Here is a 25,757-nt window from a genome sequence, read left to right on the forward strand (position 1 = left end):
TTGCTGGCGAGGCATTTTCCTGACATCGCTGGTGGGGATGGTGGACCAAGTGCAGAGCTGGGGTCTGAGGCACGAGGGGAACTTTCTTTTCCTCTTCCTTAAGCCTGGGGATGTGGCCAGAACCTTGGGGAGCTGTGGAGGCCACTGTGAGCTGCAGACAGAGTCCAAGAAGCGGGTGAAGACCCTGCGGTCCATCTCTTTGCTCCTTTCCCTCTTCCCACATTTAACAATTAGTTTCTCCCATGGGGGCCCCATCAAGTCATCTCCTCAAACCTGGCCAGTGCTTCATCCACTGCTGCCTTATCTTCTCCCCAGAAAATACTTCTTCCCCAACTGTGAGGATTATGCTCCGAAACTACCCCCCAGCACCTGGTAGACTTTCACAGCTGAGAGACATTGACCTCAAAGTTTAGGTTGCAAGTGAGTCCACAGAACCACTTCCGCACATTGCTGTTCACAAGAGAAGCAAGAAGAGCACCAAACACGGCAACTGGCATTGGGTTTGTGTTTGCTTGTTCCTTTCTGAATCATCAGTTTTCATTTAATTAATTAACTTATTTTTATTTATCTATTTATTTTGAGACAAGATCTGGCTCTGTTGCCCAGGCTGGAGTACAGCGGTGTGATCTCAGCTCACTGCAGCCTCGACCTCCTGGACTCAAGCAATCCTCCCCCAACTTCAGCCTTCCAAGTAGCTGGGACTACAGGTGCATGTCACTATGCCCAGCTATTTTTTGTTTTGTTTTGGTGGAGACGGGGTTCCACCATGTTGCCCAGGCTGGTCTTGAACTCCTGAGCTCAAGCAATCTGCCCACCTCAGAGTCCCAAAGGGCTGGGATTACAGGTGTGACCCACTGTACCTGGCCTAATATACATATTTATTTATTTATTTATTTATTTATTTTTATTTATTTTTGAGACAGAGTCTCGCTCTGATGCCCAGGCTGGAGTGCAGTGGTGCAATCTCAGCTCACTGCAATCTCTGCCTCCAGGGTTCAAGCAATTCTCCTGCCTCAGCCTTCTGAGTAGCTGGGATCACAGGCATGCGCCACTACGCCTGGCTAATTTTTGTAGTTTTGGTAGAGACAGGGTTTCACACTGTTGACCAGGCTGGTCTTGAACTCCTGACCTCAGGTGATCTGCCCACCTTGGCCTTCCAAAGTGTGGGATTACAGGCAAGAGCCACCACGCCCGGCCTCTTTTTTATTGTGGTAAAATACACCTAACATAAAATTTACTATTTTAACAATTTCAAGTGTACAATTCAGTGGCATGAAATACATTCACGTTAATGCGCAGCTCTCACCACCATCTATCTCCAGAACTTTTCCATCTTCCCAAACTGAAATTCCATACCAATTAAACACCAACTGGCCATTCCTCTGTCCCCATAACTCCCAGCAACCACCGGGCTACTTTCTGTCTCTGGATTTGACTGCTCTAGGAACCTCATATAAGTAGAATCACACAGAATTTGTTCTTTCGTGACTGGCTTATTTCACTTGGCATAATGTCCTCAAGGTTCATCCACGTTGTCATATGTGTCAGAATCTTCCTCCTTTTAAAGGATGAATGAATATTCCATTGTATGTGTATACCACATTTTGTTTATCCATTCATCTGTTGTTTCTACCTTTTGGCTATTGTGAACCTGACTGCACAACTATCTGTTGGAGTCAGTGCTTTCCATTCTTTTCAGCATATACCCATAAGAATTGCCAGATCAGGCCGGGCACGGTGGCTCAGGCCTGTAATCCCAGCACTTTGGGAGGCCGAGGCAGGCAGATCACGAGGTCAGGAGATCGAGACCATCCTGGCTAACACGGTGAAACCCCGTCTCTACTAAAAATACAAAAAATTAGCCAGGCATGGTGGCGGGTGCCTGTGGTTCCAGCTACTCGGGATGCTGAGGCAGGAGAATGGCGTGAACCTGGGAGGTGGAGCTTGCAGTGAGCTGAGATTGTGCCACTGCACCCCAACCTGGGCGACAGAGTGAGACTCCATTTCAAAAAAAAAAAAATTAGCTAGGCATGGTGGCGGGTGCCTGTAGTCCCAGCTACTTGGGAGGCTGAGGCAGGAGAATCACTTGAATCTGGGAGGTGGAGTTTGCAGTGAGCTGAGATTGCACCATTGCACTCCAGCCTGGGCGACAGAGTGAGACTTCATCTCAAAAACAAAACAAAACAAAACAAACAAAAAAAAAGCCAGATCAGGGGCCGGGCACAGTGGTTTATGCCTGTAATCCCAGCACTTTGGGAGGCCAAGGCAGGAGGATCGCCTAAGCTCAGGAGTTCGAGACCAGCCTGGCCAACATGGTGAAACCTCATCTCTACTAAAAATACAAAAATTAGACAGGCATGGTGGCACATGCCTGTAATCCCAGCTTGGGAGGCTGAGGCAGGAGAATCACTTGAATCTGGGAGGTGGAGGTTGCAGTAAACAGAGATCATGCCACTCATACTAGCCTGGGCTGCAGAGTGAGACTCTGTCTCAAAAAAAAAAAAAAAAAAAAAAAAAAAAGGAAAAAATAATTGTCATATCATATGGTAGTTCTATTTTCAATTTTTTGAGAAACTGCCATAGTGGCTGTACCATGTTACATTCCCATCAACAATGTGCAAGTGTTCCCATTTCTCCACATCCTCATCAACACTTACTTTCTTTTTCTTTTTAAAATAAAAGACATTCTAATGCGCCTCAAGTGGTTTCATTGTGATTTTGATTCGCATTTCCCTAATGATTAGCAATGTTGAGCATCTGGTCATGTGCTTCCTGACTATTTGTATTTCTTCTTTGGAGAAATGTCTATTCAAGTCTTTTGCCCATTTTTAAAATTGGGTTGTTCTTTTGTTATTGTTAGCAACTATATTTTACTCAATTCAAACTAGTAATAACTGGTTCTGCATGACTTGTTACTAAGAAAAATAAAAATAAATGTCAAAAAATTAAGCTCCTTCTCCTCTGCAGTTCAATAAATTACTTTTTTCTTTTTCTAAATTGAGCACTGGGATGGAGAACCACTTGTTCCTCAAACCTCTTCTTCCTCCCATACCTATGATCTGTAATAAGTCAAACTGACCCAGTAGCTGGAGCTGAGGAGATCAGAAAAAAGCAAGGCAGCAAAACAGTGATGGACAACTGTTCCCAGACCAAACCGAGGGTCGGGCTGCTTATTCTTGCGGCACAATAACGAGATGTGGATGAACTGGGAAAGAAGGAAGTTTTTATTTCTGTAACCAGTTTTAGGGAGAAGGCCTGGAAAATATTGTGAGACCAACTCTTAAATTACAAAGCTTTCCAGAGCTTACGTACCTCCTAAGCTGTATGTCTACGTGTAGGTGTGCATTCTTCTAAAAACATATATAGTGATCAACTCTTTTTTTTTTTTTTTTTTCTTTTTGAGACAGAGTCTTGCTCTGTCGCCCAGGCTGGAGTGCAGTGGTGCGATCTCGGCTCACTGCAAACTCCGCCTCCTGGGTTCAAGCAATTCTCCTGCCTCAGCCTCCTGAGTAGCTGGGATTACAGGCGCCCGCCACCACACCCAGCTAATTTTTTTGTATTTTTAGTAGAGACAGGGTTTCACCATGTTGGTCAGGCTGGTCTCGAACCCCTGACCTCTTGATCCACCCGCCTTGGCCTCCCAAAGTGCTGGGATTATAAGCATGAGCCACCGTGCCCGGCACTCTTTTTTTTTTTCTTTTTTTTGAGATGGAGTTTCGCTCTTGTCTCCCAGGCTGGAGTGTAGTGGTGCGATCTCAGCTCACTGCAACCTCCACCTCCCGGGTTCAAGCAGTTCTCCTGCCTCAGCCTCCTGAGTAGCTGGGATTACAGGTGCGTGCCACCACACCCGGCTAATTTTTTTCTTTTTTGTATTTTTAGTAGAGATGGGTGTTTTACCATGTTGGTCAGGCTGGTCTTGAACTCCTGACCTCGTGATCCGCCTGCCTACAGCCTCCCAAAGTGCTGGGATTACAGGCGTGAGCCACCGCGCCCAGCCCTGATTAACTTATTTTAATCTATAACTAAGGTCTAAGTCCTGAAGACCTTCCTCTGGAGCCTCAGTAAATTTACTTAATCTAAATGGGTCCAAGTGCGAGGTGATTACCCTTATCTTGTCTCCTGCTAAATCATGGAGGTTTGGGGAGTTCCTTCAGACCCCTAGTAAACTTGTTTGTGGAGGCCTGGGGTGTTTCTTCAGACCCACAATAAAATTTGTTTAATCCTAAATGGGTCCTGTTAAGAATTCCTTCATTATTTTGTCATGCTTTAAGGCCCAGGAAAGGCCTAGGCAAAACTCTTGGTGAACTTTTGTTACATTCCAGCCTTTGTATAAGCACACTGGCTCTTTCAGCAATTTTTTATTTTTTTATTTTTATTTTTATTTTTATTTTTTTTTTGAGACAAGAGTCTTGCTCTGTCACCCACAGCTGGAGTGCAATGGTGAGATCTTGGCTCACTGCAATTGCCGCCTCCTAGGTTCAAGAGATTCTCCTGCCTCAGCCTCTAGAGTAGCTGAGATTACAGGTGCGTGCCACCATGCCCAGCTAATTTTTATATTTTTAGTAGAGACGATGTTTCACTATGTTGGCCAGGCTGGTCTCGAACTCCTGACCTCAGGTGATCAACCTGCTTTGGCCTCCCAAAGTGCTGGGATTACAGGTGTGAGCCACTGCGCTCAGCCATCTTTTAATATTTAACTTAACCACTCAGTCAGTACTGAAACTGTTGTTATGGAGGCCTGCATGAGTGGGACCTGGCCTGCCACACAACCTCACTGGAGTACACCAACCTCAGATCTAATCCTGAGGACAGCCGAGGGAGGAACCTTCCAGATGGTCAGACATGGGATGGATAAGCCACTCACTTAATTCTCTGCAAAGCTGTCTCCTCCATTTGTGATGAATGGTGGTGATCTTGGACTACACAGAAGGGCAACACCCAAAAGAAAAGAGTCACTGCTCCCTCTTGAATCCGTCAAAGCAGATCGGGCTTCCATCCCCCGGCTGCCTCTCTTCGAAGCTTTCTCCTCTCAGGGCTCTCCCCGTCAGAGATCCTGTGCCCCTTCTCTCCCCAGAAAGGCAGGGAAATCCCTAGACTTGCACCTCGATATCACCTAGCTCAGGGGGTGTAAAATCAGGATGATTAAATGAGATGTTGCAAGTGTAACCCAAGTGCTCCCAGGGACACCTTAACCGGAAATAACATTCATATAAACCCACTTAAGTCTCCATCCTGCGAGGCGATGGGCCAGCCAGTGCCTTCCCAAATATCTCTGTGTGGTTACCTGCTGCCTCGGGCTCAGGTCATTGCTTGGCTGGTCACTACCTCTCCAAGCTGCTCTACCTCTCTGCAGGTGCTTCCCCCCAAGGCAGCCAGTGCTAGTGCAAGCCCGAGGCTGGGGCTGGGGATTGTCAAAGCAGGGAAGGTGGGGGGCGGGTGACAGTCCAGAATCGGATAGCACTGGAGTTGGCTGGCAGTCCTCACAATCCCTGCAGTCTGCCTGTTGCATTCTGTCATTGTGGGGAGAGGCCATCCTGCCCTCCCAGGCCTGGCCTGCTGTCCCAGGTCCGAGCCATAGACACTGGGTGAGACCCCTTTTCCCATTTCCCATTTCCTCTCTCCTCCCAGTTCCAGGATCTCCAAAACTCCCCTCTTCTGGCTAACCTGGAGAAAATCCACAATTCAGTGTACAAGGCAAAATAGTTCATGCCAAGGAAGACGCCCCTTCACTGTATTACGCACCACAGCGTATTCCTCTGTGCCTCAGTCTCTCTTACTGGCGAAAGGGGGAGAAGAGACGCTTTATCTTTGCACACCACCCTCAAAAAAAACCTGTTAAATGCTTGTCCAACAAAAGTATTAGTAATTTTTCTGGCTGAGCATGGTGGCTCACTCCTGTAATCCTGGCACTTTGGGAGGCTGAGATGGGTGGATTGCATAAGTTCAGGAATTCAAGACCAGTCTGGGCAACATGGCAAAACCCCGTCTCTACGAAAAATACAGAAATTAGTTGGGCATGGTGAGAGCATGCCTGTAGACCCAGCTACTTGGGAGGCTGAGGTGGGGGGAGGATCACTTGAGCCCAGGAGATAAAGGCTGCAGTGAGCTGAGATTGCACCACTGCCTTCCAACCTAGGCAACAGAGTGAGAGCTTGTATCAAAAAAAAAAAAAAAAAAAAAAAAAAAAAAGAAAGAAAAGAAAAAAGAAAAAGAAAAAGTATTAGTAATCTTCTAACAGAAGTTCTGTCCAGGATCTTTAGAGTATAGAGTAGAATCCAACATTTGGCTGCTGAGAAGTTCATCCAACCCACAGATGTGGTTTTTTGTTTTTCTCTTGCATGGTATAAAAAAGATTGTGAATTAGTTGCCAGCTTTTGAATCCATAGCTTTACTTAAAAATCTGGGTGACCAGCTTCCCTTGAAATATCAGAAGATCTGGCTACAGGGTTTACCTTCCCATGTGCCAACAGTCTGCTGGATGCAAGAAGCTACACTCTTAGGCAGTCATGCACTCCCCAGTTTGCCACAGTCTCCACTCCTCCCTATTGTCCCCTTGACTCAGCCAGCTTTATTTACTTAAGTCACTTGCCTGTACCATACAGACATTTAATTTCATATCCCTGGGTCCAGCTCATCAAATAGAGCTTTGTGAACCACATCAATGATTTTGGATTTTATACCAAAGCCAAGAGAAATCATCAAAAGGCTTTCCACATAGGAATGATATTGTTACTGGATAGAAGGTCTTGACTGTAAGTTGTCCAGATTCTTGGCACATTGAACAAAGAATTAAACAAAACACACAAAGCAATGAAAGAACGAAGCAACAAAAGAAGAAACAAGCAACGAAAGCGCAGATTTATTGACGTGAAAGTACAGAGCGTGAGCCGGCTCAAGCAAGTGGGTTAAAAGTCCCGATTACAATGTTCTTTAGGGTTTTTATTAAGCTAAAAGAATTTGGTGGCTGGGCGCGGTGTCTCACGCCTGTAATCCCGGGACTTTGGGAGGCCAAGGCGGCCAGATTACCTGAGATTGGGAGTTCAAGACCAGCCTGGCCAACATGGTGAAACCCGGTCTCTACTAAAAATGCAAAATTAGCTGGGCGTGGTGGCACATGCCTATAATCCCAGCTACTCCAGAGGCTGAGGCAGGAGAATCGCTTGAACCAAGGAGTTGGAGGTTGTGGTGAGCCAAGATCTCGCCATTGCGCTCCAGCCTGGGCAACAAGAGCGAAACTCCGTCTCAAAAAAAAAAAAAAAAAAAGAAAAAGAAAAGAAAAAAAGAATTTGGTAACACCCCTAGGTGCCCTTTAGAGGCCTCCAGTTGGTTACACCTTATGAAGGATTGGCCCACGACCAATCAGAGGCTGAAGTGGAAACTTCTGTCTTGTTATCATAGGAGTGAGGGTGCGGCCTGTGTGCAGCCCAGTCTTGCCTAGAACTGGCTGCATCTGCTGTTCTTTTGCTTATGCCTTAACCCATGGTTACCCTAATTCCCTATTATCCTGCCTCAATATGATTAGATTTTCATCCTTAAATCATCACTATAGATTCTGTATAGAGAATGGGATAGAAGCAGGTGGAAAATGAAAGCAAGGAGACCCACCGACCCTGGAGACCAGGCGACCCTGTACAGCAGCAATGGTAACGGCCTGGATTAGGGTGGTGGCAGTGGAGGCGGCGAGAGGTGGACACATATGAGATGTGTTTGTAAAGGAGAAGCCACAGACATTGGGAAGAGCTGGATGTGGAGGGTGAAGTGGAATGTGTTGATGGCACGTGTGATGGAGGATGGAGGGGCCATTGATTGAAATAGGGAAACTGAAGGGGAATCAGATTTGTGGGAGGAGATTTATTTATTTATTTATTTATTTATTTATTTGAGACCGAGTCTCGCTGTATTGGCAGGCTGGAGTGCAGTGGCACGATCTCGGCTCACTGCAACCTCCGCCTCCCGGGTTCAAGCAATTCTCCTGCCTCAGCCTCCCGAGTAGCGGAGACTACAGGCGCCCGCTTCCACACCCGGCTAATTTTTTGTATTGTTAGTAGAGACGGGGTTTCACCATGTTAGCCAGGATGGTCTCGATCTCCTGACCTCATGATCCGCCTGCCTTGGCCTCCCAAAGTGCTGGGATTACAGACGTGCGCCACTACACCTGGCGCAACTGCCTCTTTTAGGGGAAGCAAATGCTCCCTAGTTTGCCACAATCGCCACCACTCCCTATGGTAACACTTGGCCTGAATCACTCCCTTATCCTTGTCTGACATTTATACTTGCGATTTTGGCCTGGAGCAATAAGTACTATTTGTAGCATGATTTTAAAAGGGTGATTTTTTTTTCTCCCTACTAAACATGGACAGCACTTAATACTATGCCTAAAGCACTTAATAAATGTTAGTTTTTTATGTTTCTCTGTTTTTTGTTTTTTTGTTTTTTGAGATGGAGTCTCGCTCTGTCACCCAGGCTGGAGTGCAATGGCTCGATCTCAGCTCACTGCAACCTCCGCCTCCTGGATTTAAGTGATTCTTCTGCCTCAGCCTCCTGTGTAGCTGCGATTACAGTCACCTGCCACCACGCCCGGGTAATTTTTGTATTTTTAGTAGAGACAGGGTTTCGCCATGTTGGCCAGGCTGGTCTCGAATTTCTGACCTCAAGTGATCCTCCCACTTCGGCCTCCCAAAGTGCTGGGATTACAGGTGTGAGCCACCACTCCTGGCCTAAATATTAGTTTTTAATTCTCTCTCTCTTTCCAGGCCTGTCCTCCATTAACCCCCATGGGATGCTCTGGAATCTTTTCCTTCTTCTCTGGTTGATTGTAATAACTTAAAAGCCCTGTCCCTACCCTGCCGTTTTTTCCACCTGACTTGGCCTCCACTCCGATGGCCTCCTTGAGTCCTCCCCACCTTCCACTCCAGCTTGGTTCTCTGTCTCTCCATGAAGCCCTCCCAGCCTCATCAATCCTCAAATGAATCCATCATTTTCTGGATTCCCTACAAACCTTCCTAGCTCTGCCACTTATTAGAAGATTAATCTTGCCCTATCATGTAATTTGGATTTTTTTTTATTTTTTTTTATTTTTAATGTACTATTGCCTTGTCTCTCCTAAGTCCATTGTGAGCTTGTGGTTAGGGAGGTGTATTTCTTCATATCTCAGCAGCTTTCACGCATTGCTTTGAACACAGCAGGTACTCACTACATAGTGGTTGATTGATACCTTGTTCACACCTCCCTAGAAGTGGACACCTATTGTCTTGCCTGCCAAACCCATCTTCCTTCTCTGGAAGCTGTTCCCTGTCTCTCTACCCCGCTCTCCCCCATCCTCATTGTAACGATGGAAGACTTCCTTCTCTACAGCCCCCGCCCCGCCATGCACGTCTCTCTCAGCTCCAGAGAGGAAGCTACAGTGTCTCACCAAGCTCTTGGAGGAGAGCAGCAGTTACAGCCAACATTTATTGAACATGTGCCAGAGACTGTTCCAGATGGTACATAAACTCTTAATTCAAGCTCATTAAACCCTGACAAGATCCCTACAAGGCAGGCAATATTTTTATCCCCATTTTACACAGGAGGAGACCAAGGCAGAGGCCTCCCGGCTGCTGCGTCTCCCATGCAGTACATAGGTTTATCACACTCCAATCTCTCTCTTCCTCTGTCACCATCAAATCCCCACTTTATTCTCCTGCCAGCCACTTCCACAGCACAGTCCAGACTGTTTCCCAGCTCCGTGTCTTGCCTTGTGCAGTTCCCCTCACCTGGGAATACTATGCCCCGCCTTTTTTTGTCTGAGTGACTCCTTAATCTTTAAGACTTAGGTCCGTCATTGCCTCTTCCAGGAAGCCCTCCTTGCACAACCTCTTGGCTCTCAGGTGGGGGGAATCGGTACCATCTCTCCATCACACTTTATTTATTTTTCTTTTCTTTTCTTTTCTTTTTTTTTTTTTTTTTGAGACGGAGTCTCACCCTGTCACCCAGGCTGGAGTGCAATGGGGCGATCTCAGCTCACTGCAACCTCCGCCTCCCGGGTTCACACGATTCTCTTGCCTCAGGTTCTGGAGTAGCTGAGATTACAGGCTCCTGCCACCATGCCCAGCTAATTTTTGTATTTTTAGTAGAGACGGGGTTTCACCATGTTGGCCAGGCTGGTCTCGATCTCCTGACCTTGTGATCCTCCCACCTCAGCCTCCCAAAGTGCTCGGATTACAGGCGTGAGCCACCGTGCCCAGCCTATTTGTTTATTTATTATTTATTTATTTTTGAGACAGAGTCTTGTTCTGTCACCCAGGCTGGAGTGCAGTGGCATGATCTCAGCTCACTGCAACCTCCTCCTTCCGGGTTCAAGCAATTATCCTGCCTCAGCCTCCCTAGTAAGTGGGATTACAGGCGTGCACCACTACACCCGGCTAATTTTCTTTCATTTTTAGTAGAGACGGGGTTTCACCGTGTTGGCCAGGCTGATCTCGAACTGACCTCGAGTGATCTGCCCGCCTCGGCCTCCCAAAGTGCTGGGATTACAGGCATGAGCCACCGCGCCTGGTCCCCCTTTTTTTTTTTTTTGAGATGGAGTCTTGCCCAGAGCGAGACTAAAGCATGCAGTGGCATGATCTCGGCTCACTGCCACCTCAGCCTCCCAAAGTGCTGGGATTACAGGCATAAGCCACCGGTAATCACGACCCATCACACTTTAATAATAATGCCCTGGGCTTCCCTCTGGAGTCGTGCTCACCGCATTGCAATTGGACACTTTGTTGACTTATTTGTGCCTCCATAGACTCCAGGCTCCATGAAGACATGGACCTCAGGGCTCAGCCCCCAGCCTGATGCAAAGGAACCTCAGAGTTTTTCCCAAATCCAATGTCCCAGCTGATGCTGCCAGTGGAGAAACCATGCCTCTTATGCCAGCATCAAAGAAACGCAGAGACGCCAGAGCAGTGGAGAGCTTCCATCCAACAAACTGAATACTCATGAGGCACACAGTTACTGGGAGAAAAGTGGCAGCATTGGACAGACAATGGCAAGAGTTGTCAGGGATGTGCAGAAATGGGAACCCTCAGACACGGCTCATGGGAATGTCAAATAGCGCAGCCACTGTAGAAAACAGTTTAGCAGTTTCAAAATGTTAAATATAGAGCTACTATAGAATGCAGCACTTCCAATCCTACAAGGCGGGCAATACTACAAGGCAGGCAATCCTACAACGCAGGCAGGCATTACAGACTCTACTGCATTTTTACAATGTGAACTTTCCATTCCTTTCTTGAACTCTGTTCCTGCCTCTTCCTCACAATCTATTACACAGCTTTCAGGGGCATCAAAGACTGAAACGCTATCTTCTTCTATTTGAAATGGTTCCAAAGTTGCTTTAATAATGGCCCAATCATTCCATACTGTAAGTGGGATGATTTTACCTTCCCTACTTGCTTGTTTTAATTCTTTGCCAATTTTTTCCCAGTCTTTTAAATCTAAAGTTCCCTGTTCTGGAAACCATGGGCAGAATTGTTCTATTGTTTGAAATAGCGTAATTATATTTTCTGTAGAAGCTTTAACTCCCCCTCTTCTGATGGAGATATATACCCAAGAGAATTGAAAATATATCCACACAACAACTTGTACACAAAGGTTTATAGAAGCATTATTCATAATTACCGAAAGGTGGAGACGGCCGGGCGCAGTGCCTCACACCTGTAATCCCAGCAATTTGGGAGGCCAAGGCAGGCAGATCACGAGGTCAGGACTTTGAGACCAGCCTGGCCAACATGGTGAAACCCTGTCTCTACCAAAAATACAAAAATTAGCTGGGTGTGGTGGCACATGCCTGTAATCCCAGCTACTCGGGAGGCTGAGGCATGAGAATCGCTTGAACCCAGGAGGCAGAGGTTGCAGTGAGCCGAGATCGCATCACCGCACTCCAGCCTGGCGACAGAGCGAGACTCTGTCTCAAAAAAAAAAAAAAAAAAAAAAGTGGAGGCATCTACAAGTCCCTCAACTAATTAATAGACAAATAAAATGCAGTAAATCTATGCAATGGAATTATTCAGCCACAAAATAAAGTACTGATACATGCTACAACACACATGAACCTTGAAAATATGCTAAATAAAAGCCAGTCACAAAAGATCTCATATTGTGTAATTCCATGTACATAAAATGTCCAGAATAGGCTGGGCATGGTGGCTCACGCCTGTAATCCCAGCAGTTTGGGAGGCTGAGGCGGGAGGATCACTTCTGGCCAGGAGTTTGAGACCAGCTTGGGCAACATAGCAAAACCCCATCTCTACAAAAAAAATTAAAAATTAGCCAGGTGTGGTGGTGCACACTTGTAGACCCAACTCCTTGGGAGGCTGAGGCACAAAGGATCGCTGGAGTCCAGGAGTTTGAGGCTGCAGTGAGCTATGATCATACCACTGCACTTCCAGCCTGGGTGACAGAGCAAGACCCAGTATCTCTCTCTCAAAAAAAAAAAAAAAAAAAAAAAAAAGTCCAGAATAAGCAAATCCATAGAGATATCAAGTAGGTTAGTAGTTGCCAGAAGCTGAGGGGAGGGAGAGATGGGGAGCGACTGTTAACAGGTACAGGATTTCTTTCAGGGGTGATACAAATGTTGTGGAATGAGATCGTGGTGATGGTTGTACATCTTTGTGAATATACCAAAAATCACTGAATCATACACTTTAAAAGTATGTGAATAAAGAATTCACACACTTTATGGTATGTGAATAAAGAATTCACATACTTTATGGTATGTGAATTTTATCTCCATTTTAAAAAGTGTCAGAGCATGCAGAGCTGAGGAAGGCAGAGACTGTGAGGGAGGTGACGGGGCGAAGAGAGCAGTAATGACCATAATAACCAGGATGGCTAACAGTCAGCAAGTGCTGGCTATACATCAGGCACCAGGCTAAGTAGTTTACACAAATTATCCTACTTAATCCCCACAACAACTCTCTAAAGCAGGATCTAATAGTACCCTCATTTTATAAATGGGGAAATTGAGACCCTAGAAAGGGTAAGTGACCTATCAATGGTGCACCTGCAAAGTGGCTGAACCAAAGGTGGTCTATGGCCAAAGCTGCGCCACAGCACAACGCTGCCTTGTGCAAATGACCACACACAGGACAGAATGTAAAAGGCAGAGTCAAGGTTACAAGGTGCTGGGAGAGGCAGAAGAAGTCTTCATATCCCACTGGGGATCCAGGACATTGGAAAAGGATTTTGAAGGGTAGATAGGACTTGGACAAGCAGAGATAGAGAAGAGCAAGTTTTAGACAAGTGGCAATAACTTGAGCAAGTAGGTAAAAGTGGGAAGGTTGGGTGTGTTTATACCAGGTACCATGGCTCATGCTTGTAATCTCAGCATTTTGCGAGGCCGAGGTGGGCAGATCGCTTAAGCCCAAGAGTTTGAGACCAGCCTGGGCAACAAAGCAAGATCCGGTTTCTACGAAAGAAACAAAATAAAATTTAACCAGGTGTGGTGGCATATGGCTGTGGCCCCAGCTACTTGGAAGGCTGAGGCAGGAGGATCACCTGAGCCTGGGAGGTGGATGCTACAGTGAGCTGTGACTGTGACATTGCACTCCAGCCTGGGTGACAGAGTGAGACCTTGTCTCAAAAACAAACAAAAAACAAAAAAACCCACACACATTTTTTTTGGTGAAATTATGGGTGGCCACCTAACATGCATGTCCCCTTCCTCTTGACTACCAGAACCCCCAGGCGATGGACCATGAGTAGTCTAAGCCCTATCAGGACAATCCAGCCTCCAGGGTTCCCTGCCTTCATTGCAACTAAGAGTGATCCACAGGACCTAAGCAGAGAACTACTGTGGGAACTTCTGGAAAAAGGTTTTCTTTTCTCTCTCTCTTTTTTTTTTTTTTTTTGAGAGAGAGTTTCACTCTTGTCACCCAGGCTGGAGTGCAATGGCACGATCTCGACTCACTGCAACCTCCACCTCCCAGGTTCAAGCAATTCTCCTGCCTCAGCCTCCCAAGTAGCTGGAATTACAGACGCCTGCCACCACGCGCAGCTAATTTTTTGTATTTTTAGTAGAGACGGGGTTTCACCGTATTGGCCAGGCTGGTCTTGAACTCCTGATCTCAGGTGATCCGCCCACCTCGGCCTCCCAAAGTGCTGGGATTACAGGCATGAGCCACTGTGCCTGTCTCAGAAAAAGGTTTTCTTTCCTCATAAAAGAAAACAGATAAGGTTGGTACTAGCCGGGCTCTTCCTCCTTTCTCCCTGTCTTGAATGCAGACGCAACGTCTGAAGGTGCACATATTGTCTTGGGACCCTAAGAATACAAACCGAAATACTAAGGTTGATGAGGCAAGAAGGCAAAGAACAGGGGTACTGGCCGGGCGTGGTGGCTCACACCTGTAATCCCAGCACTTTGGGAGGCCGAGGCAGATGGATCACCTGAGGTCAAGAGTTTAAGACCAGCCTGGCCAACATGGGGAAACCCTGTCTCTCCTAAAAAATTCAAAAATTAGCCGGGTGTGGTGGTAGGCGCCTGTAATCCCAGCTACTCGGGAGACTGAGGCAAGGAAAATTGCTTGAACCGGGAGATGGAGGTTGCAGTGAGCCAAGATCACACTACTGCACTCTAGCCTGGGCGACGCAGCAAGACTCTGTCTCAAAAAAAAAAAAAAAAAAAAAAAGAACAGGGTACCCAAGGCATCACTGATTTGTGGAACAAACACCATCTTCTAGACTTCCTGTTGTGCAAGAAAAATAAATCTGTATTTGTTTAAGCAACTTTTCTGTTAATTGCCAGTCAAAGGCAACCCCTAACTTACACAGAAGTGGTAAATATACTACTTTGGCTGGGGTGCAATAAACTTGCCTCTTATTCTTCCTCTAATTATTCCATTAGATAAACTCTTAGCAGTGGAATTAAATCTAATCAAATGGTATAGTGGACATTCAGTTTTGTCTTCCTAGACTCCATAACCCATTCCTGACAATATCCTGAACTTCCAACCTTGTGGTTTAGAAAGTACTGACTTCATCCCAGCTCCAGGGATGGGCCCTCACTGGCTTTAACCAATCACCTCAGCCTCCCAAGTAGCTGGGACTACAAGCATATACCACCACCCCTGTCTAATTTATTTTAAAAGCTATTTGAAGTGTGTTTTCTGTTACTTGAAATGAGGATGCCCTAAGTGTTAAGAAAGTTATAAACATTTTTAGGATCAGGTCGGTGTATTGGTGCTGTGGACTGAATTGTGTCCTCTAAAAATTCCTAGGTTGAAGCTGAAGGAGTGAAGTATGTGCCATCCCAAAATATGCCAAATTGGTATGTTGATTATTTCGTTGAAAACATTGGAGGGGCCAGGCGTGAGTGCCTGTAATCCCAGCGCTTTGGGAGACAAAGGCAGGAGGATCACTTGAGCTCAGGAGTTCGAGGCCAGCCTGGGCAACAAAGTGAAACCCTTTCTCTATATTAACAACAACAAAAAAAGACACCTGTAATCCCAGCACTTTGGGAGGCCAAGGCAGGTGGATCACCTGAGCTCAGGAGTTGGAGACCAGCCTGGCCAACATGGTGAAACCCCGTCTCTACTAAAAAATACAAAAATTAGCTGGGCATGGTGGCATGCACCTGTAATCCCAGCTATTCTGGAGGCTGAGGCAGGAGAACCACTTGAACCCAGCAGGCGGAGGTTGCAGTGAGCCAAGATCATGCCACTGCACTCCAGCCTGGGCAACAGAGTGAGACTGTCTCAAGAAAAAAAAAAAAAGAAAAAAAAAGAAAACTTTGGAGAAAATGTGGTTTCAGAAAGGGTGAGCTGACCTGTCTCTTCCTGCATGCAGCAAGCCATAAGGATTCCTCTGGGAGGGGTACACTCCCCTTATCAGGGGGGTGAAAATATCCCTTATCACCAGAGACTGGAAGTTGGGGGCTGCAGTGCAGTGGACCTGAACAACTATACTTCATGAAGTAACCTTTATTTTCTTTTCCTTTTTTTTTTTTTTTGAGACAGAATCTGTCTCACCCAGGCTGGAGTGCAATGGCACAATCTCGGCTCACTGCAACCTCTGCCTCCCGGGTTTAAGAGATTCTCCTGCCTCAGCCTCCCGCGTAGCTGGGATTACAGGCATGCACCAACAGGCCTGGCTAATTTTTGTACTTTTAGTAGAGATGGGGTTTCACCATTTTGGCCAGGCTGGTCTCAAACTCCTGACCTCAGATGATCCGCCTGCCTCGGCCTGCCAGAGTGCTGGGATTACAGGTATGAGCCACTGCACCTGGCGCCCGAAATGACCTTTCTATTCTGCTGGTTGTATACCCTCCCATACATCTCCCGGTGACTCCCTTAGAAATTTACTGCCCGTAACCAGATCCCTTTTGCCCTGTTATTTCTTCTCAAATGTATTGTTCTTTGTCGAAAAAGTATAAATGCATCTTACTTTGGCCACTTCTTCAGACTTCACTCTTGTGAAGATCCCTGTGTACATGGAAAACTAATAAAGCTTATATGCTTTTATCTTGCTACTCTGCCTTGTGTCAATTTGGTCTCTAGATATAGCTGAGAGCCCACATAAGAGGCACATGAGGTTGGAGGTGATCTCTCACTCTGCTGCAAAACAAAGCCCTAACCCCCAAATGTGTTAGTATCTGGAGATGGAGTCTTTGGGAAGCGATCCGGTTTAGAGGAAGTCTTGAGGGTGTGGCCCTTATAAGAAGAGACATCAGAAAGCTTGCTTCCCCTCTGCCTCTCTCCACCTGCACACTTCTGTGAGGATACAGAAGACTGATGTCTGCAAGCCAGAAAGAGTCTTTTATTTATTTATTTATTTTTGAGATGGAGTCTCACTCTGTCACCCAGGCTGGAGTGCAGTGGCACAATTTCAGCTCACTATACTTTCTGAAGTAACCTTTCTTTTTTTTTTTGAGACAGAATCTCCCTCTTTCGCCCAGGCTGGAGGGCAATGGCGCAATCTCGGCTCACTGCAACCTCCACCTCCCGGGTTCAAGCGATTCTCCTGCCTCGGCCACCTGAGTAGCTAGGATTACAGGTGCCCACAACCAAGCCCAGCTAAATTTTGTATTTTTAGTAGAGATGGGGTTTCACCATGTTGGCCAGGCTGGTCTTGAACTCCTGACCTCAGGTGATCCGCCCACCTCGGCCTCCCAAAGTGCTGGGATTACAGGCATGAACCACCACACCCGGCCAAGTCTGGCCAGGAAGAGAATCCTCAGCAGGAATGCAATTGGCTGGCACTTTGATCTGGGACTTCCCAGCCTCCAGAATCAGGAGAAATAAATGCCTGTTGTTTAAGCCGCCCGGTATTTTATTATATCAGCCTGAGCTGACTAAGATGATTTGTGAGAGCTTTTTTTGTTGTTGTTGTAAATGTTAGAAATTTAACTCTGATTTGAGCAAAAAGGGGGAATGTATTGGCTTATTAAAGGGAAACGTTGAGGACTAGATCTGGCTTTAAGTCATGACTGGATCCAAGGGCTCAAGGCCATCGGGACAGACATTCCCTTTCTCTCTTCCTCACATTTTATTTTATTTTATTTATTTATTTTTTGAGATGGAGTCTCGCTCTGTCATCCAGGCTGGAGTGCAGTGGTGCAATCTCAGCTCACTGCAACCTCTGCCTCCCAGGTTCAAGCAGTTCTCTGCCCCAGCCTCCCGAGTAGCTGGGATTACAGGCCCTCGCCACCACGCCCAGCTAATTTTTTTTTTTTTTTTTTTTGTATTTTTAGTAGAGACAGGGTTTCACCATCTTGGCCAGGCTGGTCTTGAACTCCTGACCTGTGATCCACCCACCTCAGCCTCCCAAAATGCTGGGATTACAGGCGTGAGCCACCGCGCCCACCCTCTTCCTCACGATTTATCTCTCCTCACTGTCTGGCTCAGTTTTCCTCTCTTTTGGCTTCCTTCTCATAGGGGATGTTCTCCCAAGTGGTAGCAAAGATGGTGCCCAGCAGGCATGTAAACTTGCCTTGTTCCTACTGGCAGCAGCTCCAGGAATTAGCATATCTTCTTTCCTGCTACCCGGTACTCCTTGCCACCTTTCTCCCCAGTGTCTGTTTCAAACCCTGAATAAGCCTCTGATTGGTCCTGTATGAGTTACATATCTTCCCACTTCCACCCAATCAAGCATGAAAACCAGAGAAGTGGAACACACTTATTGGCTAGGATCAGTCACATGGGTATCCCCACTGTGTCCTTGTCTGTGTCTCAGCTTGATACATTCTGTGTTCTCAGATCCTCCTGGGGTCTGTTTTGCAACATGTGACAAGAAAGTAATCTGGGCTTGTTGAAGTGGCTCATGCCTGTAATGCCAACACTTTGTGAGGCCAAGGCAGGAGGATCACTTGAGCCCAGGAGTTTGAGACCAGCCTGGACAACATAGGAAGACCCCATCTCTATTAGAAACAAAGAAAGTTTAAAGTAGATTTAGAGGTTGAAAAAAAAATAAGAAGAAAGAAAGTAACCTGGTTGCAATTACGTGGTTGTAACAGCAGCCTGGAGACAAACCAATTCATTGCAAAAGGGAAAAACGAGAGAGTTTGGTTCATGGCAGTTCTGCTGTCTCTCTATCCTAGTCTCTCCAGAAAAAAAGGCCCAAAAGCTAAATGCCGGCAACATTACCAACCCTGGACAAAGCTCTTACTTGCCAGACAAATGGACTTTGGGCACATGCTGCCTGGCACCTCTGCCTTGCATGGTGTCCCCTCGGGTCAGCCCACCCTCCCTGCACTAACCATCTGAGACCAGCTGGCTGGCACAGCAGGCCCACCCAAGCCTGGAGAGTGGCTGCCCCGCCTCAGCCTGGCCGCCAGCCAATAAGAGCTTTGCCAGAGCTTATACATTTCTGGTGGCCTCCCCAACTCTCTTTCCTTCCTTCCTTGGGAAATGGAGTAAAGAGCAAGAAACCAGAAATTAAGAAAAATCTTCTGAAGGAAACGGGGAAGGGAATCTTAAATGCCATCCATCTTTTCGGTAAAGCACTCCTAAATGTGACCAGTCCCCTGCTGTCTCCATCTCCTTGACCACTCAGTCGACCACTCTCTACTTTATTTATTTATTGAGACAGAGTCTCACTCTGTTGCCCAGGCTGGAGTGCAGTGCCACAATCTTGGCTCACCGCAACCTCCACCTCCCTGGTTCAAGCAATTGTCCTGCTTCAGCCTCCCAAGTAGCTGGGACCACAGGCACGTACCACTACACCCAGCTAATTTTCATATATATATATATATATATATATATATATATATTTTTTTTTTTAGTAGAGATATATATGTTTATATATATATATTTTTAGTAGATATATATATCTATATATATAGATATATATATATTTTTTTAGTAGAGAAAGGGTTTCACCAAATTGGCCAGCCTGGTCTCGAACTCCTGGCCTCAAGTGTTCCTCCCGCCTTGGCCTCCCAAAGTGCCGAGATTACAGGCATGAGCCACCTCTTTACTGATGCCTCTCAAATCCTTATCTCCCTTTCTGACCCCCTGGTTCGAATATTTCCATCTGTTCACATGACAATTCTATCATCCCAGACTCAATAAAGTGAAACCATTTTCCATTATCTTTCTACCACTTACCATCCACACTAACTTACTCTCTAAAATTCCCCATTTCTAGGCCGGGAGCAGTGGCTCATACCTGGAATGCCAGCACCTTGGGAGGCTGAGGCAAGCGGATTGCTTTGAGCTCAGGAGTTTGAGACCAGCCTGGCCAACAAGGTGAAACCCTATCTCCACAAAAATACAAAAATTAGCTAGGCATTGGTGACTTGTGCCTGTAGACCCAGCTACTTGGGAGGCTGAGGCTGGAGAACCACTTGAACCTGAGATGTGGAGGTTGCAGTGAGTTGAGATCATACCACTGCACTCCATCCTGGTGACAGAGTGAGACTCATTCTCAAAAGAATAAAATTAAAAACAAAAAAATCCCCCATTTCCATTCAGGATATTCTGTCCCTTGCTCTTCATTCCTAAAAAGAACAAACTATTTTTCTCTACACACTCACTGTAGTTTCTCTACCATACTTTGCTTCTGACACCAAATTTGTAAGAAGTTCTCCCACATCAAACAATGCTCCAATTAGCATCAGGGGATGCTGACCAGGTGTCTTACAATTAAACTCGATTCTGACACGAAGTGCCTGGAGTTAGTGGAGACCCCACAGGTTAAGGGCTCAGTCCCACAAGACTCCTCCCAACCTCGGTTGCCAATTGATAGTGGCTGGGCCCGCGGTTACTCAAAACCTCTATCTGACTTGGCTACAAATCAGAGGTTCCCTCGATCCCCCTCTTCAGGTTCAGTTATTTACTAGAACAGCTCAAAGAACCCAGGAAAAGTTTACTTCCTATTACAGATTTTTTACAAAGGCTATTTTATTTATTTACTTATTTATTTTTGAGACAAGGTCTTGCTCTGTTACCCAGGCTGGAGTGCAGTGGCGTGATCTCGGCTCACTGCAACCTCTGTCTCCCGGGTTCAAGCAAGTCTCCTGCCTCAGCCTCCCAAGTAGCTGGGATTACAGGTGTGACACCACACCTGGCTAATTTTTGTATTTTTAGTACAGATGGGGGTTTCACCACGTCAGCCAGGCTGGTCTCGAATTCCTGACTTCGAGTGATTGGCCCTCCTCAGCCTCCCAAAGTGCTGGGATTATAGGTGTGAGCCATCGTGTCCAGCCTACAAAGGATATTTTAAAGGTACAAATGAACAGCCAGGGGAAGAGATACCCGGGATGAGGTCCAGAAGGGTCCCAAGCACAAGAGCTTCCATCCCCTTGGAGTTTAGGGTACGCCGCCCTCCCCGCACGTGGATGCCTTCTTGTTCATCAACTTAGAACCCTTCAGGTTAGGGTTTCTATGGAGCCTTGATTGATTAAATCATTGACCATTGGCGACCGGCTCAACCCTTTGGGAGGGTGTGGCTGAGAATTCCAACCCTGTAATCATTTGGTTGGCTCCCCCAGCTCCCAGCCTTCATCCTTAGGGACTTCCCTAAATCACCTCATTAACATAAACTCGGGTGTGGGCCAAAGGTGCTTGTGATGAATAACAGAAGATTCTCCTTTCAATCCTTCTGGAGCTATTTCAGGAACTAGGAACGAAAAGCAAATATGATAACACCAGATGCTCCTTTTGGTTTCTATCCCTTAGAAAGTAACAAAGGTATTAGGATCTCTGGCCAGGAGCCTTATATTACATTATTTCACACATTTATTCCTTCCATCTGATTTCTGGTCTCAGAAATACCTAGGTTTATGCCCCAGGATGGCCATAGACTTGCTGTGTGACTTTCAACAAGTCACTTAACCTCTCTGAACTTTTTAAAAAGTCTGTAAAAATGGAAATCTGAATACATTCCTTGTAGGGTTGTTGTGAGAACTGACGTGTATATAAAGTAGCACAGAATAGGTGCCCCCCAAAAAACCTTCATTCTCCTCTTCCCTCTCTTTCTTGGTAGCATCCTAGTCTAAGCCCTCCTCATTACATACCTGGATTACTACAGTAAATCCCCAAAGGGTCTCTGGTTTTCTAGTCTCTTTCACCAATCCAGTCCATCTCAAACACCAAGACTGGAGAAATCTTCTTAAAATATTGTATTCCTCTTTTTTTTTTTTTTTTTTTTTTTGAGATGGAATCTCACTGTATCACGCAGGCTGGAGTGCGGTGTCATGATCTTGGCTCACTGTAACCTCCACCTCCCATGTTTAAGTGACTCCCCTGCCTCAGCCTCCCAAGTAGCTGGGATTACAGGAGCATGCCACCATGCCCAGCTAATTTTTGTATTTTTAGTAGAGACAGATTTCACCATGTTGGCCAGGCTGGTCTCAAACTCCTAACATCAGGTGATCCTGCCTCAGCCTCCCAAAGTGCTGGGATTACAGGCCTGAGCAACTGTGCCTGGACTTAAAATATTGTATTCCTTTTGTCACTTTTCTGACCTTTTGTAATTGCCCAATGGGTGCTTCCCGTCTGCTGCACAGACCAAATTAATTTTTTTGAACTGTGGTATTGCAGTAAAGCAAGAGTTTAATTAACACAAGGCTGGTTATACAGGAGAACTGGGGTTATCACTCAAATCAGTCTCCCTGAAGGATCAGTGGTTCAGATTTTTCAAGGATAGTTTGGCTGGCAGGGACTAGGGAATGGGTGCTGCTGACTGGTTAGGGATGCAATTGTAGGGGCGTGGAAAATGGTCCTTGTGCACTGAGTCCACCTCTTGGTAGGGCCACAGTCATGGTCATGGGTCACGAGTCTGAAAAACATCTCAAAAGGCCAATCTTAGGTTCTACAAGAGTGATGTTATCTATAGGAGCAACTGGGGAAGTCACAAATCTTATGGCCTCTGGCCTCATGACTCCTGAGCAGTAAGGGATTACAGAAACTACACCTGCATTTTGACAGAATTCAGCTTCCCCTCATAATCCTAATCTTTTGGCTTTTCACTAGTCTTACAAAGGTGGTTTCAGCTCTCAAATTAAAAGGGACTGTTATCATCCTTGCTTCAAAGTTAAACTATAAACTGAATTCCTCTCATGGTTAGCTTGGCCTATGCCCAGAAATGAGCAAAGAGAGCCAACCTGTGAGGCTGGAGGCTAGATGGAGTCACCCATGTTAGATTTCTCTCATTGGAATTATCTTTGCATAGGCAGTTTCACTTTACCCATTGCCATCAGGTTACATTGTCAAAGACCCATTCTAGCCCTAAAATCTGCAATAACATGGACTTTTCTCATTTTTTGAGACAGAGTCTTGCTCTGTCACCCAGGCTGGAGTGCAGTGGCGCGATCTTGGCTCACTGCAAGCTCTGCATCCCGGGTTCACACCATTCTCCTGCCTCAGCCTCCTAAGTAGCTGGGACTACAGGCACCCATCACCACGCCCGGCTAATTTTTTGTATTTTTAGTAGAGACGGGGTTTCACCGTGTTAGTCAGGATGGTCTCGAGCTCCTGACCTTGTTATCTGCCTGCCTCGGCCTCCCAAAGTGCTGGGATTACAGGCGTGAGCCACCACGCCCGGCCAATAATATGGACTCTCATATCCAGGATAACTCCCTTGTGTCTTTCTTGAAGCCCATGGGAATGAATGCAATGGCCCAACCAAGAGAAGAAGAAGAAAGAAGATGAAAGAAGATGAAAGAAGAAGAAGAAGAATAGGAAGAAGAGGAAGAGGAAGAGGAGGAAGAAGGGTGAGGAGGAGGAGAAAAGAAAGAAGAGGAAGAAAGCTAAGGATAGAATCTTAGAAACCTTCACTGTTCAGGGCTGGCTGGGGAAGAGGAATCAGCAGAGGAGCTTGTGTTGGATCATCCAGAGAGGCAGGAGGGAAGCCAGGGGAGCGGTGGCATCCTGGAAGCTGATGGAAAACATGGTTTCCACGAGCAAGTGACCCAGCGGGTCAAATGCTGCAAAAAGGTCAGGATGAGGCCTGGCAAGGATCTGTGGTGGATGAATAGTGTCCTCCCAAAAGATACGTCCAAGTCTTGACCCTGACACCTGTGACCGTGACCTTATTTGGAAATTGAGTCTTTGTAGATATAATTAAGTTAAAGGTCTTGCGTTGAGGTCATATAGGTCCATCCTAAATCCTATAGCTGATGTCCTTGGATTTTTTTTTTTTTTTTTTTTTTTGAGATGGAGTCTTGCTCTGTCGCCCAGGCTGGAGTACAGTGGCACAATCTTGGCTCACTGTAACTGCCGCCTCCAGGATTCCAGAGATTCTCCCGCCTCAGCTTTTTTTTTTTTTTTAATATTTATTTATTTGTAGTTTGGTGGGGGTTTTTGTTTGTTTGTTTGGGTTTTTTGTTTGTTTGTTTGTTTAATAGCTCTGCTGGAACCAATATACATCTTTTCTTAAAGCAACATTCCTTTAGTTACTGCCATAGCGCTCCTCCTCTTGATAGTCAAGCTTCCTGGAAAAGTTGCTCCTACTGGTTTAGAACCCACCAAAGTCAACCAATGACCTCTTTATTTCTAAATCCAATGTGCCCTGTATTAGTTTCCTAGGCTGCCATAACAAAATACCACAAACTTGGCAGGTTAGAAACTGTGAAATAATGTATTATCTCATAGTTCTGGAGGCCAGAAATCCAAAATCAAGTTCTCAGGTAAGTTGGTCCCTTCTGGAGGCTCTGAGGCCCACACAGGCACCACTCCAGTCTCTGCCTCAGTCTTCACCTGGCTCGCTTTCTATGTCTCTGTGTCTCAAATCTCCTTCTCCTTTAATAAAAATTGAAAGACAGCAGGGCACGGTGGCTCATGCTTGTAATCCCAGCACTCTGGGAAGCCGAGGCCAATGGATTGCTTGAGCCCAGGAGTTTGAGACCAGCCTGGCCAACATGGTGAAACCCTGTGTCTACTAAAAATACAAAAATTAGCCGGGCCTGGTGGCAGGTGCCTGTGGTCCCAGCTACTCGGGAGGTTTAGGTGGGAGGATCGCCTGAGCCTGGGAGGTCAAGGCTGCAGTGAGCCATGATCACGCCCCTGCACTCCAGCCTGGGTGACAGAGTGAGACTCCGTCTCAAAAAAAAAAAAAAAACCCAAAAAACAAAAAAACCAACCAGACCAAAACAAACAAACAAAAACAAGCAAGCAAACAAACAAAAAGCACACTGCTAATGAAAAAAGGGTTCTTATGTTGATAGGCTTGAAAGGATAGGATTCACAGATTCACAGGATGTCAGGGCTGGTAGGAACCTTAAACACTGCCAAGTCATAAGCACAGGGCCTGGGGAGAATGAGCTAGTGCATGATATTATCGTGCTTTCCTCTTTTGCACTCCCTTTTGTGTGACCTCCTTCCCCTTCTGCCAGAGGCATCTGTTTGCCTCAGAGACGATTAGGATTGCAAAGAGAAATAGAAAGCCAATACGCAGCTGTGGACATCCAAAAAAATATTCCTCTGTGTAAGGCAAAGTAATAGCTTTGAAAGCCAGTCTTTGCCAAGAGAGAAAAGGATTTTCTAAACAATTTAGGCACGTGTTAACATATCAAGAGCTAGGCCTGTTGGACTAGATCACTGAGTTTTGCTGTGTGTGCCTGGGGTGGAAGGAATCCAGATGTGATGCAGTGGCTGTGGCCCCAGGATGGCTGCAAAAGGAAGCAGAGGCAAGGGACACAGGCCGTCCTACTACTGCTTCTTAAGCTCCTCCTCCAGGCCAGAGGCAGGGGTTGAGGGAGGTGCGTGTTGGAAGGGTTGAGGGACAGCTAAAGGCACAGGATCCTCAGCCCTCTGTCTTTTTTTTTTTTTTTTTTTTTTTTTGGAGATGGAGTCTTGCTCTGTCACCAGGCTGGAGTGCAGTGGCATGATCTTGGCTCACTGCAACCTCCGACTCCTTGGTTCAATCAATTCTCCTGCCTCAACCTCCCAAGTAGCTGGGATTACAGGCACCCGCCACCACACCCAGTAATTTTTTGTATTTTTAGTAGAGACGGGGTTTCACCATGTTGTCCAGGATGGTCTCCATCTCCTGACTTTGTGATCTGTCTGCCTCGGCTGCCCAAAGTGCCAGAATTACAGGCGTGAGCCATCGCGCCCAGCCTCCTCTGTTTTATTTGGAGCCCTAGGAAGTATCCCATAGTGGTCTGGACACTGTGTCCAGCAATCAAGAGGACAGGAAGTAACAATGAGCTGGGAAATGACTGCACAGGTGAGCCTGGGCCCCACACTTGGCTCCCCACGGCCACAGGGCATCCTGAAATCCCTCCAGGATCTGACCAGGGGACTTGCAAGAGCTGAAGGGCCTTGAGATTCCCAGAGTGTCAGGGCAGGAAAAAG

The sequence above is a fragment of the Homo sapiens genome, chromosome 22 (genome assembly GCF_000001405.40).
Source record: "Homo sapiens chromosome 22, GRCh38.p14 Primary Assembly".
Taxonomy (NCBI): Eukaryota; Metazoa; Chordata; class Mammalia; order Primates; family Hominidae; genus Homo; species Homo sapiens.